Source organism: Homo sapiens, chromosome 9 (assembly GCF_000001405.40).
Source record: "Homo sapiens chromosome 9, GRCh38.p14 Primary Assembly".
Lineage (NCBI taxonomy): Eukaryota > Metazoa > Chordata > Mammalia > Primates > Hominidae > Homo > Homo sapiens.
In genome coordinates, this window is record NC_000009.12 from 97580643 (window position 1) to 97596613 (window position 15971).

The window sequence follows — 15971 nt, forward strand, 5'->3', positions numbered from 1 at the left end:
AGGGAGGGAGGGAGGGAACAGAGAGATCCCTTGTACTCTATGCAGTTTAGGTGGGAACTGTAGTTTTGTATCACAGCAAGGATAGTAACATTTATAAGGTCAAGATACGAAATATTTCCATCACAGGGATCTCTCATATTGCCCTTTTGTAGCCAAGTTCACTTGTCTCTTCCTTCTGCCTCCTTAACCCCAGGCAACCACTAACCTGTTTTCCATTTTAATATTTTGTCATTTAAAGAATGTTATATATATAATGTTATCTAAATGAAAATCATATATTATGTAACCATTTTGGACTGGCTTTTTTTTTTTCACTTGGCATAATTCTTTTTTATTTTATTTTATTTCTTTTTTCTTTTTTTTTATTATACTTTAAGTTTTAGGGTACATGTGCACATTGTGCAGGTTAGTTACATATGTATACATGTGCCATGCTGGTGCGCTGCACCCACTAACTCGTCATCTAGCATTAGGTATATCTCCCGATGCTATCCCGCCCCCCTCCCCCCACCCCACAACAGTCCCCAGAGTGTGATGTTCCCCTTCCTGTGTCCATGTGATCTCATTGTTCAATTCCCACCTATGAGTGAGAATATGCGGTGTTTGGTTTTTTGTTCTTGCGATAGTTTACTGAGAATGATGATTTCCAATTTCATCCATGTCCCTACAAAGGACATGAACTCATCATTTTTTATGGCTGCATAGTATTCCATGGTGTATATGTGCCACATTTTCTTAATCCAGTCTGTCATAGATGGACATTCGGGTTGGTTCCAAGTCTTTGCGATTGTGAATAATGCCGCAATAAACATACGTGTGCAGGTGTCTTTATAGCAGCATGATTTATAGTCCTTTGGGTATATACCCAGTGATGGGATGGCTGGGTCAAATGGTATTTCCAGTTCTAGATCCCTGAGGAATCGCCACACTGACTTCCACAATGGTTGAACTAGTTTACAGTCCCACCAACAGTGTAAAAGTGTTCCTATTTCTCCACATCCTCTCCAGCACCTGTTGTTTCCTGACTTTTTAATGATCGCCAGTCTAACTGGTGTGAGATGGTATCTCATTGTGGTTTTGATTTGCATTTCTCTGATGGCCAGTGATGATGAGCATTTTTTCATGTGTTTTTTGGCTACATAAATGTCTTCTTTTGAGAAGTGTCTGTTCATGTCCTTCGCCCACTTTTTGATGGGGTTGTTTGTTTTTTTTCTTGTAAATTTGTTTGAGTTCATTGTAGATTCTGGATATTAGCCCTTTGTCAGATGAGTAGGTTGCGAAAATTTTCTCCCATTTTGTAGGTTGCCTGTTCACTCTGATGGTAGTTTCTTTTGCTGTGCAGAAGCTCTTTAGTTTAATTAGATCCCATTTGTCAATTTTGTCTTTTGTTGCCATTGCTTTTGGTGTTTTAGACATGATGTCCTTGCCCATGCCTATGTCCTGAATGGTAATTTAGCCTAGGTTTTCTTCTAGGGTTTTTATGGTTTTAGGTCTAACGTTTAAGTCTTTAATCCATCTTGAATTGATTTTTGTAGAAGGTGTAAGGAAGGGATCCAGTTTCAGCTTTCTACATATGGCTAGCCAGTTTTCCCAGCACCATTTATTAAATAGGGAATCCTTTCCCCATTGCTTGTTTTTCTCAGGTTTGTCAAAGATCAGATAGTTGTAGATATGTGGCGTTATTTCTGAGGGCTCTGTTCTGTTCCATTGATCTATATCTCTGTTTTGGTACCAGTACCATGCTGTTTTGGTTACTGTAGCCTTATAGTATAGTTTGAAGTCAGGTAGTGTGATGCCTCCAGCTTTGTTCTTTTGGCTTAGGATTGACTTGGCGATGCAGGCTCTTTTTTGGTTCCATATGAACTTTAAAGTAGTTTTTTCCAATTCTGTGAAGAAAGTCATTGGTAGCTTGTTGGGGATGGCATTGAATCTGTAAATTACCTTGGGCAGTATGGCCATTTTCACGATATTGATTCTTCCTACCCATGAGCATGGAATGTTCTTCCATTTGTTTGTATCCTCTTTTATTTCCTTGAGCAGTGGTTTGTAGTTCTCCTTGAAGAGGTCCTTCACATCCCTTGTAAGTTGGATTCCTAGGTATTTTATTCTCTTTGAAGCAATTGTGAATGGGAGTTCACTCATGATTTGGCTCTCTGTTTGTCTGTTATTGGTGTATAAGAATGCTTGTGATTTTTGTACATTGATTTTGTATCCTGAGACTTTGCTGAAGTTGCTTATCAGCTTAAGGAGATTTTGGGCTGAGACAATGGGGTTTTCTAGAAATACAATCATGTCGTCTGCAAACAGGGACAATTTGACTTCTTCTTTTCCTAATTGAATACCCTTTATTTCCTTCTCCTGTCTAATTGCCCTGGCCAGAACTTCCAACACTATGTTGAATACGAGTGGTGAGAGAGGGCATCCCTGTCTTGTGCCAGTTTTCAAAGGGAATGCTTCCAGTTTTTGCCCATTCAGTATGATATTGGCTGTGGGTTTGTCATAGGTAGCTCTTATTATTTTGAAATATGTCCCATCAATACCTAATTTATTGAGAGTTTTTAGCATGAAGGGTTGTTGAATTTTGTCAAAGGCTTTTTCTGCATCTATTGAGATAATCATGTGGTTTTTGTCTTTGGCTCTGTTTATATGCTGGATTACATTTATTGATTTGTGTATATTGAACCAGCCTTGCATCCCAGGGATGAAGCCCACTTGATCATGGTGGATAAGCTTTTTGATGTGCTGCTGGATTCGTTTTGCCAGTATTTTATTGAGGATTTTTGCATCAATGTTCATCAAGGATATTGGTCGAAAATTCTCTTTTTTTGTTGTGTCTCTGCCTGGCTTTGGTATCAGAATGATGCTGGCCTCATAAAATGAGTTAGGGAGGATTCCGTCTTTTTCTATTGATTGGAATAGTTTCAGAAGGAATGGTACCAGTTCCTCCTTGTACCTCTGGTAGAATTCGGCTGTGAATCCATCTGGTCCTGGACTCTTTTTGGTTGGTAAGCTATTGATTATTGCCACAATTTCAGCTCCTGTTATTGGTCTATTCAGAGATTCAACTTCTTCCTGGTTTAGTCTTGGGAGAGTGTATGTGTCCAGGAATTTATCCATTTCTTCTAGATTTTCTAGTTTATTTGCGTAGAGGTGTTTGTAGTATTCTCTGATGGTAGTTTGTATTTCTGTGGGATCGGTGGTGATATCCCCTTTATCATTTTTTATTGCGTCTATTTGATTCTTCTCTCTTTTTTTCTTTATTAGTCTTGCTAGCGGTCTATCAATTTTGTTGATCCTTTTAAAAAACCAGCTCCTGGATTCATTAATTTTTTGAAGGGTTTTTTTTGTCTCTATTTCCTTCAGTTCTGCTCTGATCTTAGTTATTTCTTGCCTTCTGCTAGCTTTTGAATGTGTTTGCTCTTGCTTTTCTAGTTCTTTTAATTGTGATGTTAGGGTGTCAATTTTGGATCTTTCCTGCTTTCTCTTGTGGGCATTTAGTGCTATAAATTTCCCTCTACACACTGCTTTGAATGCGTCCCAGAGATTCTGGTATCTTGTGTCTTTGTTCTCGTTGTTTCAAAGAACAACTTTATTTCTGCCTTCATTTCGTTATGTACCCAGTAGTCATTCAGGAGCAGGTTGTTCAGTTTCCATGCAGTTGAGCAGTTTTGAGTGAGATTCTTAATCCTGAGTTCTAGTTTGATTGCACTGTGGTCTGAGAGATAGTTTGTTATAATTTCTGTTCTTTTACATTTGCTGAGGAGAGCTTTACTTCCCAGTATGTGGTCAATTTTGGAATAGGTGTGGTGTGGTGCTGAAAAAAATGTATATTCTGTTGATTTGGGGTGGAGAGTTCTGTAGATGTCTATTAGGTCCGCCTGGTGCAGAGCTGAGTTCAATTCCTGGGTATCCTTGTTGACTTTCTGTCTCGTTGATCTGTCTAATGTTGACAGTGGGGTGTTAAAGTCTCCTATTATTAATGTGTGGGAGTCTAAGTCTCTCTGTAGGTCACTCAGGACTTGCTTTATGAATCTGGGTGCTCCTGTATTGGGTGCATATATATTTAGGATAGTTAGCTCTTCTTGTTGAATTGATCCCTTTACCATTATGTAATGGCCTTCTTTGTCTCTTTTGAGCTTTGTTGGTTTAAAGTCTGTTTTATCAGAGACTAGGATTGCAACAACCCCTGCCTTTTTTTGTTTTCCATTTGCTTGGTAGATCTTCCTCCATCCTTTTATTTTGAGCCTATGTGTGTCTCTGCAAGTGAGATGGGTTTCCTGAATACAGCACACTGATAGGTCTTGACTCTTTATCCAATTTGCCAGTCTGTGTCTTTTAATTAGAGCATTTAGTCCATTTACATTTAAAGTTAATATTGTTATGTGTGAATTTGATCCTGTCATGATGATGTTAGCTGGTTATTTTGCTCGTTAGTTGATGCAGTTTCTTCCTAGTCTTGATGGTCTTTACATTTTGGCATGATTTTGCAGCGGCTGGTACCAGTTGTTCCTTTCCATGTTTAGTGCTTCCTTCAGGAGCTCTTGTAAGGCAGGCCTGGTGGTGACAAAATCTCTCAGCATTTGCTTGTCTGTAAAGGATTTTATTTCTCCTTCACTTATGAAGCTTAGTTTGGCTGGATATGAAATTCTGGGTTGAAAATTCTTTTCTTTAAGAATGTTGAATATTGGCCCCCACTCTCTTCTGGCTTGTAGGGTTTCTGCCGAGAGATCCGCTGTTAGTCTGATGGGCTTCCCTTTGTGGGTAACCTGACCTTTCTCTCTGGCTGCCCTTAACATTTTTTCCTTCATTTCAACTTTGGTGAATCTGACAATTATGTGTCTTGGAGTTGCTCTTCTCGAGGAGTATCTTTGTGGCATTCTCTGTATTTCCTGAATCTGAATGTTGGCCTGCCTTGCTAGATTGGAGAAGTTCTCCTGGATAATATCCTGCAGAGTGTTTTCCAACTTGGTTCCATTCTCCCCATCACTTTCAGGTACACCAATCAGACGTAGATTTGGTCTTTTCACATGGTCCCATATTTCTTGGAGGCTTTGCTCATTTCTTTTTATTCTTTTTTCTCTAAACTTCCCTTCTTGCTTCATTTCATTCATTTCATCTTCCATTGCTGATACCCTTTCTTCCAGTTGATCGCATCGGCTCCTGAGGCTTCTGCATTCTTCACGTAGTTCTCGAGCCTTGGTTTTCAGCTCCATCAGCTCCTTTAAGCACTTCTCTGTATTGGTTATTCTAGTTATACATTCTTCTAAATTTTTTTCAAAATTTTCAACTTCTTTGCCTTTGGTCTGAATGTCCTCCCGTAGCTCAGAGTAATTTGATCGTCTGAAGCCTTCTTCTCTCAGCTCGTGAAAGTCATTCTCCATCCAGCTTTGTTCCGTTGCTGGTGAGGAACTGCGTTCCTTTGGAGGAGGAGAGGTGCTCTGCTTTTTAGAGTTTCCAGTTTTTCTGTTCTGTTTTTTCCCCATCTTTGTGGTTTTATCTACTTTTGGTCTTTGATGACGGTGATGTACAGATGGGTTTTTGGTGTGGATGTCCTTTCTGTTTGTTAGTTTTCCTTCTAACAGAGAGGACCCTCAGCTGCAGGTCTGTTGGAAAACCCTGCTGTGTGACGTGTCAGTGTGCCCCTGCTGAGGGGTGCCTCCCAGTTAGGCTGCCCGGGGGTCAGGGGTCAGGGACCCACTTGAGGAGGCAGTCTGCCCGTTCTCAGATCTCCAGCTGCGTGCTGGGAGAACCACTGCTCTCTTCAAAGCTGTCAGACAGGGACATTTAAGTCTGCAGAGGTTACTGCTGTCTTTTTGTTTGTCTGTGCCCTGCCCCCAGAGGTGGAGCCTACAGAGGCAGGCAGGCCTCCTTGAGCTGTGGTGGGCTCCACCCAGTTCGAGCTTCCCGGCTGCTTTGTTTACCTAATCAAGCCTGGGCAATGGCGGGCGCCCCTCCCCCAGCCTCGCTGCCGCCTTGCAGTTTGATCTCAGACTGCTGTGCTAGCAATCAGCGAGACTCTGTGGGCGTAGGACCCTCCGAGCCAGGTGCGGGATATAATCTCGTGGTGCGCCATTTTTTAAGCCCGTCGGAAAAGCGCAGTATTCGGGTGGGAGTGACCCGATTTTCCAGGTGCCGTCCGTCACCCCTTTCTTTGACTCAGAAAGGGAACTCCCTGACCCCTTGCGCTTCCCAGGTGAGGCAATGCCTCGCCCTGCTTCGGCTCGCGCACGGTGCACGCACCCACTGACCCGCGCCCACTGTCTGGCACTCCCTAGTAAGATGAACCTGGTACCTCAGATGGAAATGCAGAAATCACCCGTCTTCTGCGTTGCTCACGCTGGGAGCTGTAGACCGGAGCTGTTCCTATTCGGCCATCTTGGCTCCTCCCCACCACTTGGCATAATTCTATGGAGATTCATCCAAGTTGTTGCATGTACCAATCGTTTGCTCTTTTTCACTGGTGAGTAGTATTCCATGGTGTGGATGTACCAGGGTTTGTTTGACCACTCACCTGTTGAAGGGCGTCTGGGTTGTTTCCAGGTTTGTCTATTACATATAAAGCTGCTATAAACATTCATGTACAGATTTTATGTAAACATATGTTTTAATTTCTCTGGGATAAATACCTGGGAGTCCAATTGCATTTTTAAAAAACTCAACTCTTGTGCACAGTGTGCCATTTTCTAGACCCACCAGTAGTTTATGAGTGAGCCAGTTTCTCTACATTCTCACCAACGTTTGGTGTTGTTGCTAATTTTTATTTTAGAGATTTTGATAGGTATGTAGTGATATCTCATTGTGATTTTGATTTGCATTTCTGTGATAGGTCATGATGTTGAACATCTTGTCATGTGATTATCTGCAATATGTACATCCTCTTCAGTGAATGTCTCTTCATATCCTTTCCCCGTTTTCTAATTGTTTGTTTTTTTTTTACTGTGGAGTTTTTTTCTAATTGACACGTACTTCACACACCACACAATTCATCCTTTTAAAATTCAGTGGGTTTTGATGTATTCATAAGGCTCTGCAACCATCACCACTATCTAATTCTAGAAAATTTTTATCACTCAAAAAAGAAACTCTGTACCCATTAGCTCTCATTCTGCTTTTATCCCCTCCCCCAGCCCCTGGCAACCACTAACCTCCTTTCCATCGCTATGGATTTGCCTCATCTAGACATTTCATATCAATGGAATCATACAATATATGGCCTTTGTGTCTGGCTTCTTTCATTTAGCATAATGTTTTCCAGGGTCATTCGTGTTGTATAATAGCACATATCAGAACTTTATTCCCTTTCTGACTGAATAATACTCCACTGTAAGGATCTACCACGTTGTGTGTATCCATTCATCAGATGATGGACATTTGGGTTGTTTCTTCTTTTGGCTATTCTGAATAATGCTGTTATGAGCATTCATGAACAAGTTTTTTGTGTGGACTTATGTTTTTATTTATTTTCCACCCAAGAGTGGAATTGCTGGGTCATATGGTAGCTCTATGTTTAACTTTTTCAGGAACTGACAAACTGTCTTTCAAAGGAGCTGCACCATTTTATATTCCCACCAGCAATGTATGAGGGTGCCACTTTCTCCACATTCTTGTCAACACTTGTTACTGTCTGTCTTTTCTATTATAGTCATCTTGGTATGTGTGAAGTGGAATCTCATTGTGGTTTGATTTGCATTTTCTGAATTATTAATGATGAGCACTTTTTCATATATTTATTTGCCATTTTTATCTTTACAGAAGTGTCTATTCAAATCCTTTGCTCATTTATAAATTGTGTTTTTACTGTTGAGTTCTAATAGTTCTTTATATATTCATATTTAAATCCTATATCTACCAAATATTTTTACAAATATCAATACAAAATATTTTTCCCATTCTTTGTGTTGTCTTTTCACTTTCTTGTGTCTGTTGAAGCACAAAAGTTTTAAATTTTGATGAAGTGTAACATCTATTGATCTATGGCATTGATTCTTTTAATCAATTTGGTAATATTGCAATATTAACAATATTAAGTCTTCTGATCCATGAAGACTTAAGATCCATGGGATGTTTTTTATATTTATTTAGGTCTTATTTAATGTATTTCAGTGTTGTTTTGTAGTTTTCAATATATAAGTCTTTACTTCTTTTGTTAGAAATAAATCTAACAAAAGAAGTTAGAATTAGTATTTTATTCTTTTTGGCCAAGCGCAGTGGCTCACGCCTATGATCCCAGAACTTTGGCCAAGGCAGGTGGATCACCTGAGTTCAGGAGTTTGAAAGCAGCCTGGCCAACATGGCAAAACCCTGTCTCTACTAAAAATACAAAAATTAGCCACGTATGGTGGCATGCGCCTGTAATCCCAGCTACTCAGGAGGCTGAGGCAGGAGAATTGCTTGAACCCAGGAGGCAGAGGTTGTGGTGAGCCAAGATTGCACCACTGCACTCCAGCCTGAACAACAAGAGTGAGACTCTGTCTCAAAAAAAAAAAAAAAAAAGAAGAAGAATTAATATTTTTTATATTATTATAAATTTAATTATTCTCTCAGGTTCATTTTCAGATTGCTTATTGCTAGTGTATAGAAGTACAACTGATTTTTGTGTATTGATCTTATATTCTGTAATTTTGCCAAACTCACTAATTTTTTTTTTTTTTTTTTTTGAGACAGAGTCTCATTCTGTTGCCAGGCTGGAGTGCAGTGGCGCGATCTCTGCTCACTGCAACCTCTGCCTCCCGGGTTCTCCTGCCTCAGCCTCCCGAGTATCTGGGACTACAGGTGTGCGCCACCACGCCCAGCTACTTTTTGTATTTTTTTTTTTTTTAGTAGAGACAGTGTTTCACCACGTTGGCCAGGATAGTCTGGATTTCTTGACCTCGTGATCCACCCGCCTCGGCCTCCCAAAGTGCTGGGATTACAGGCGTGAGCCACTGTGCCCGGCCGGAACTCACTAATTTTGTGTAGGGGTGTGTGTGTATTCTTAGAATTTTCTATATACAACATTATATCATCTGCAAATACAGATAGTTTTACTTTGTCCTTTGCAGTCTGGAAGCATTTTATTTATTTTTCTTGCTTAATTATCCTGTCTAGACCCCCCCAGTAAAATGTTGGTGAGAGCAAACATCCTTATCTTGTTCCTAATCTTGGAGGGAAAGCTTTCAGTCTTTAACTATTAAGTATGATGTTAGCTTTCTGTCTTTTACCTCCTGTTTAAGATTATATTTATGTTTTATTATTTTATTATATATGGTAATAGAAAATCCAAACAATACAATAAGATATAAAGAAGGAAACAAAAACTTTCTCCCCAAATCCCACCATTATCAATATACTTAAAAGTTTTTTTTCTGCATTATGTATATATATGGAAAATATAGACAACTTTACATACAAATCGTCTATTTTGTGACCAGGGTTTTTTTTCTTTTTTTTTCTTTCCATTCAATATTGGTTCATGGCCATCTTTACATGCTATGGCCAAGGATTTGCACCATCATTTTAGAGCTGCCCACATTCTATTTAGTATGGTTGAACTATCATTTATCTGAGCAACTCTCTATGAATTCTTTTTTTTTCAATTTTTATTTATTTTTTGTTTTTTGGAGACAGAGTCTCGCTCTGTCGCCTGGGCTGGAGGGCAGTGGCACAATTTCGGCTCGCTGCAAACTCTGCCTCCCGGGTTCAAGCCATTCTCCTGCCTCAGCCTCCCAAGTAGCTGGGACTACAGGTGCCCGCCATCACACCTGGCTATTTTTTTTGTATTTTTAGTAGAGACAGGGTTTCACCATGTTGCCCAGGGTGGTCTCGAACTCCTTAGCTCAGGCAGACTGCCCACCTCCGCCTCCCAAAGTGCTAGGATAACAGGCATGAGCCACCACGCCTGGCCTCTTAAGAAATTGTTTCCCTTTTCCTGGCACTATTATAACTGAGACTGTGATGAACATCCTCATCATATTCTTCCCAACATTGTTGGGTCTTTCTGTTTTTTTTTTTCTGATTTTTTTTCTTTATATCTTTGTCAGATGATCACTATAGATTTGGGGGCAGGGAACCATTAATAATATGATCAGAATTGGGCTTTAGAAAGCTAACTTTGGCATTGTCAACTTACCATGTGATCTTGGGAAAACCTTTTTTCCTTCTCTGGGCCTCAATTTTTTCATTTATAATTTGAAGAGACTAAATTACTGGTTATCAGACTTGGGTGCATATTGAAATCTCCTGAGAAGTTTTTAAAAACACAGCCATCAGAGTCCCACTCCCCAGAGATTCTGATTCAGGTAGTTTGGGGTATAGCCCGGACAGCAGGGTTTTAAAAGTCTCCTTAGGACTAGATGATTGAATGTCCTCCTTCAAATACTCTTCTGTCGTGGAGCTCTTACTTGGGCACCTGCTCAGAGAGAGGCTGTTGTAAAGCAGTGAAAAGATCTGTTCTTGGCATCCAGCAGACCTGAATTTGAATCCCAGCTCATTTGCTCCTGGCCGTGTGACCTTTCAACTTCTCTAAACTTCCATTTCCCTACTCTTGGAGAGGAGGCTAAAATCCCCTCCCACTACTCAAGAGTTTCTGCAGGTAGAGGTGGTTTAGGCACTGTACACATGGAATGAGTGGTGATTTTATTTTTTATTTTTTATTTTTTCTTGACTAAAGAGCCAGCCCCTGGGCAACAAAGTGGAAATGGAGATTGTGAGCATGTTGGAAAAAAACGCAACACTTCTCAAATTCGGCTACCACTTTACCCAGCAAGGACCCCGGCTTCGGGCATCCAACGCAATGATGAACAACAATGACCTTGGTGAGTAGAAATATGCTTCCTGCCCTGCCCGCAGTCCTGTTATTCCCTCCACCTGTGCTGGGGATGTCAGGGAAAATTCTGTAGATGCCTCTCCGAGTCTTCTTGAGCCTTGATTTTCACATTGATCGCGTCTTCCTTGTTTTCTGTGTTTGTACCTCATCTCCACCCTGGACTACGAGCTCCTTGACTTCAGGAGCTAAGGCTGAGTCCTCTCCTCCTCAAAGCACAGCTCAGCACAGGCTGGGCCCAGAGCACACTTAAGTGTGTTTGCAGAAGGAACTGAAATTTGGGAGGGCACAAGTCTCGCCGGGAGTATTTTCCTCTTCTGAATACCCTTTTCTGAACTCATAGCGTCCTCTCCAGGTCACACAGTCTAGATTTAGCCCCAAATCCCAAAACTACCTTCCAATAGGACTACCAAAATCTGAGCCTAGGAGACTTCACATTGATTTTAAGGTAAAAGTTGAAAATGTCAACTTCATAGTAAAGTAAAAGTAGGGTATATTAATGTAATCTCAATTAAAGGCATAGTTTGTTTTTTTCTAAAAGGAAAAATTATTATGAAGGAGACATTATCAGGAAATTTTAAAAAATAAAAAAATTAAGAAAATGAAAATATCACAATATTTTTTGATAATGAACACTTATATACCTATATGAACAAATAGGTATATAAGTCAACTGAATGAAGTTTGAGCAATCATGATCTTACTTGCAGATGCCGGTTGTTCACAAGCTCTGTGTAGTTATTGCTTATGTATATTCCTGCTGGCTGCCAAAAAAGAATTTGATATAGCATTCAACAAAGGGAGCATGACTGACAAGGCTATAGGAAAACAAGAGGGGGAAAAAAAACAAGAAAAGCAGTAGGTCTATATCATTAACATGAATGATGATTATATTGAGCCCTGAGTTTCCTAGAACCAAGACAGCAGGAAGCCAAGCCAAGTTACATTATTCTTATCACAGAAGGGAAGGAAGCATAATGAGTTTGAAAAAAAAAAAAGAAAAGCCTCTTTCTGGGACTACATTGTGAAATGAACTTGTGTTTTAAAGGACAGCATCTTCAGTGAGTTTCTCATCAGATTCAAACCTGCTCTACACAATGGTTTCCAACCCTCGATAAAATGCAAAGAGCCTAATATGAATGCTCCACTCAAAGTATGTCACTTCCTGGTGATTTATCTGAGGCCAGGTCACTACCTGGAAGCCCTCGAAGAACAGAGATGAGTGTGTAGGAGTGAATGCTCAAGGCAGGTGTGCACAGACCCCACATGCACAGATAACCACAGGATTACACACACACACACACTTTAGATCGAGTTATTAAATTCCACAAACATATACCAAAATTCTATAGGTTCCTGCTTGTAAGGATGTCACAGCCCAGGAGCTATTCATTCATTGCTCACTGCAAATGCCACTATTTTCTAGAGCCTCGGGTTTAGAAAAGCCCATTTTTTAAAATGTGTGCAGAGTCTTGGTTTATCAGAAGTATCCTTACTTGAAATAAAATAAGAACAAACACAAATAAGAATCATAATTATTACATCATCTCACAGATGTCATAGCTAAACTGAATGGTTGGAGAAGGCCAGCAGCTGTGATCTGGCTGCAGTACCAGCACGGAGAAGCCTTGCGTTTCTATTCTATATGCAATAATCTCATATTTGTTTCCCCCTCAGTTAAGTTTCTTCTGTGCCCCTTGGCTCCTATCTCTGGGCTAACCCAGTTTTTGTCCTCCAATGGCATGATGGTATGGAGGTCTTGTTTCTGGGGATAGAGGCTCTAGATGAGCAGAGGTCACAGGTGCTGCAGGGGGATACCAGCATCATCTAGGAGTTGGACAAAATGGCCTTTGAAAACTCTCCCAGTCCTGTGAATCTGAGAGTCCAAAATTCAGGCCTGACTCCCATCACCAAGAACTTTCAGAGGCCATTGTAAGAATGTAGGATGGTAGAACCAGAAGGACTTAGAGCTTATCCCTCCAGTTCCCTTAGAAAGAAACTGGAGCCTGGGGTGGGGGTAGGGGGTCTAGGCAGCAGCTCAGTCAGGTCACACCAGCTGTTAGTGACAGCAAGCATTTTCTGGGCAACTTTTGTGTGCCTAGGACTGTGCTAGGTGATATCAGAGGTAGCAGAAAGGCTACCTCTGACTGAAGAAGCTTTATAACCTTTTAGGGGAAAAAAAAGACTCAAAGGCATGCCTAAAAATTCAAGAATGCCTACAAATTCTATCTAAACAAAGTGAGGAAATGATTTATTGAGACAGAGGCCAGTTAGGCAAAGCATGCTGGTTGGGGATGGGGCTTTAGCCAGCCTTGAAAGGAAGAGATAGGTTGATGGAGGAGGTCTAGAGGCATCCCTCTGGGGGTTCTAGGAGTATTAGGAAGTAGTGCTGGGGGTACAAAGGAGAGACAGAAGGATCTAAAAGGATTGGAGGAACTGTTAAAAGGAGTTAGACCTAGGAGGAAAAATGAGTTCACAAAGTAGGAAGGGAAGGGCATTCCAAGCAGAGGGAACAGCATGAGCAAAGGCAGGACAGTTGAAAGTATATGGGATGTTCACAAGGAATGGGGCTGGGTAGGTGTTTGGGTGGCTGCAGCCCAAGGCCTTTAATGTCAAGCTCAGGGGCCTGGCGATGGAAGCAGGTGGGAAGCAGAGACCGTGGCAGTTTCCTGGACGGTGATGCCAGGTGATAAAATTGGGCCTCTGGGTTACCCCAGGGAACTGTGGGCAGCTGCTCCCTTGGGGTTTCCTACAGAAGGAATTAGAGATGAATCATCTCAGTGATTACAGGGAACAGAGTGCTACTTGGTGATGTAGGATCTCTAGCTTTAAAATGAAATTTGCGCCCATCTGCTAATTTTTGTAAGAGAAATGTTTGTTATGGCAGTGCCTCAGCTTCCTCCTGACTTTACAACAGATTATTTGCATCCTACATTAATGCCGCAGTGAAGCAGACAGACTTCATGTTTTCCAACTGAATATTTGTATCGTAAAAGCCTCCTGCCAGCTCCTCCTCGGGACTGAGGCTGTTAGCAGGCCTGGCAGCAGGGAGCGCAGATTGGGAAGGGAGCAGGCCTCTCAGGCCTCCTGCTCATTCTCACCTGCCTCTGCTGGCTCTTTGCCCATGGCTGGGGCCTCTGCAGTACTTGGGCTCCTCCTTGGGGGACATTGAGTCCCCAAGGCTATGAGGACAGCGACTGGCTCTGCAGACAGGCGGTATGCCCAGGATGCATCCTGACCAGTGCGTCTTCGGTCCTCCCCACCCTGGGCACCAAGCTCTAAACAGAGCGTTCTGTGAGTGCAGGGTGCCAGGGAGGAGCCGAGCTGTGGATCCCATCTGCGTTTTCCCACAGCAATACCTCAGATGACTGTCATCTCCACACTATTTATAGCAAAGAGCCAGGCCAAGCATGGCACTTCAGGTCCTCTAAATCTGCCACTGCAGCTCTCTCCACTTAGCAAAATCTGAATTGCAGCCTGTGAGTTAAGACAGTTGTGTGGGTTGGGGTATCGTGTGGAGGGAGAGTAACATGTTTAAAAGCAGAAAACATCCCTTCCTGGGAGTCACCATTTTACAGTATTCTCAGGGAAGACCTTTGCAGCAAGCAGCCCAGACATAGCACACTGCAAAGCAATTTCTAAAAAAAATGTATTTTATTGTCAATTGACAATTTGTAATTGTATATATTTATGTGATACAAAGTGCTGTTATGATTTATGAATACAATGTGGAAAAATTAAATTAAGTGAATTAGCATATCATCACCTCAAATACTTTTTGTGGTGAGAACGTTTATTTTTTAGCAATTTTGAAATGTATAATACACTATTATTAGCTATATTCACCATGCTGTGTAACAGAGCTTTATAAAACACCTTATTCCTCTTGTCCAACTGAGATTTTTGTATCCTGTGGCCATTATCTCCCCATTCCCCACCCACAGCTTCTGTAATGACAGTTTTACTCCCTGCTTCTATGAGGTCAATTGTTTTAGATTCCACATATAATTTGTCTTTTTGTGGCTGGCTTATTTCACTTAGTATAATGTTCTCCAATTCCACTCATGTGGTTGCAAATGAACAAATTTCCTTTTTTTTTTTTTTTTTTTTAAAGAAAAGGCTGAATCGTACTCCATTGTGCATATATCCCCCAGTTTCTTTATCCATTCTTGTTGATAGACACTTAGGTTGATTCCTTATTTTGGGTATTGTGAATGATGCTGCAATGAACATGGAGTGAAACATCTTTTCAACTGATTTTAATATTTTGGGTAAATATCCAGAAGTGGGACTGCTGGATCCCAAATCAGTTTCATCATAGTCCCCCAAACCTATCTCAGAAAAGGCAGCCAGGTACGGTGGCTCACACCTGTAATCCCAGCACTTTGGGAGGCCGAGGCAGGCGGATCACCTGAGGTCAGGAGTTTGAGACCAGCCTGGCCAACATGGTGAAACCCTGTCTCTACTAAAAATACAAAAAATTAGCCGGGCATGGTGGCAGGCACCTGTAATCCCAGCTCCTTGGGAGGCTGAGGCAGGAGGATCGCTTGAACCCGGGAGGCAGAAATTGCAGTGAGCCAAGACCACACCATTGCACTTCAGTGTGGGCAACAAGAAAACTCCATCAAAAAAAAAAGAAGAAGAAAAAAAGAAAAGGCTACTCCTTTCCTCACAGCCACCCAAGCCAGAAATCTGGGCCTGTTCCTAGATGCTGCCTCCACCCCAGCCAGCCAGTCACCTCCTTGCCAATCCCAGTGTCCTGCCGTGTATGTTGAGCCCTCGTCACAGTTATCTCCTCCAACATCCTCAGGCCCCCAGCTCCTCCAGGGCAGGCACCCCTGGCACTCATCCCAAGTCTCCTTCCGAAGCTTGCCTTGTCACCCCTCCACTTAGAACCCTCACTTGCCTCCCATTGCTCTCAGTCAGGCCCCTTGAAATGACTCCCAAGTCTCTTAATAATAGCTGACTCTTACATGGCACTTACTGTGTGTTAGAGACTGTTCTGAATACTTCCCATCTCACTAGCTCATGTAGTCCTCCCCACAACCAGGTGAGACAGGTGCTATTGTTATCCACACTTTACAAGAAGGAAACAGAAGTCTAGGGAAGTAGGTAATTAACATTACCCACAATCCGTGGGCAGGACCGGGATTTGAATTGGCAATGTGGC

At 41.7% G+C, this 15971-nt stretch overlaps 1 protein-coding gene across 3 annotated transcripts in view; it reads left to right on the top strand.

Moving 5' to 3' along the window:
* The window catches only part of TMOD1 (tropomodulin 1), a 100564-nt gene that overhangs the window by 79463 nt on the left and 5130 nt on the right, over positions 1 to 15971 (top strand). For all 3 annotated transcript variants that reach the window (NM_001166116.2, NM_003275.4, XM_047423825.1), the window contains one exon: positions 10649 to 10793. In NM_001166116.2, the coding sequence (NP_001159588.1) occupies positions 10649 to 10793 (145 nt within the window). The remainder of the gene's footprint in view (positions 1 to 10648; positions 10794 to 15971) is intronic.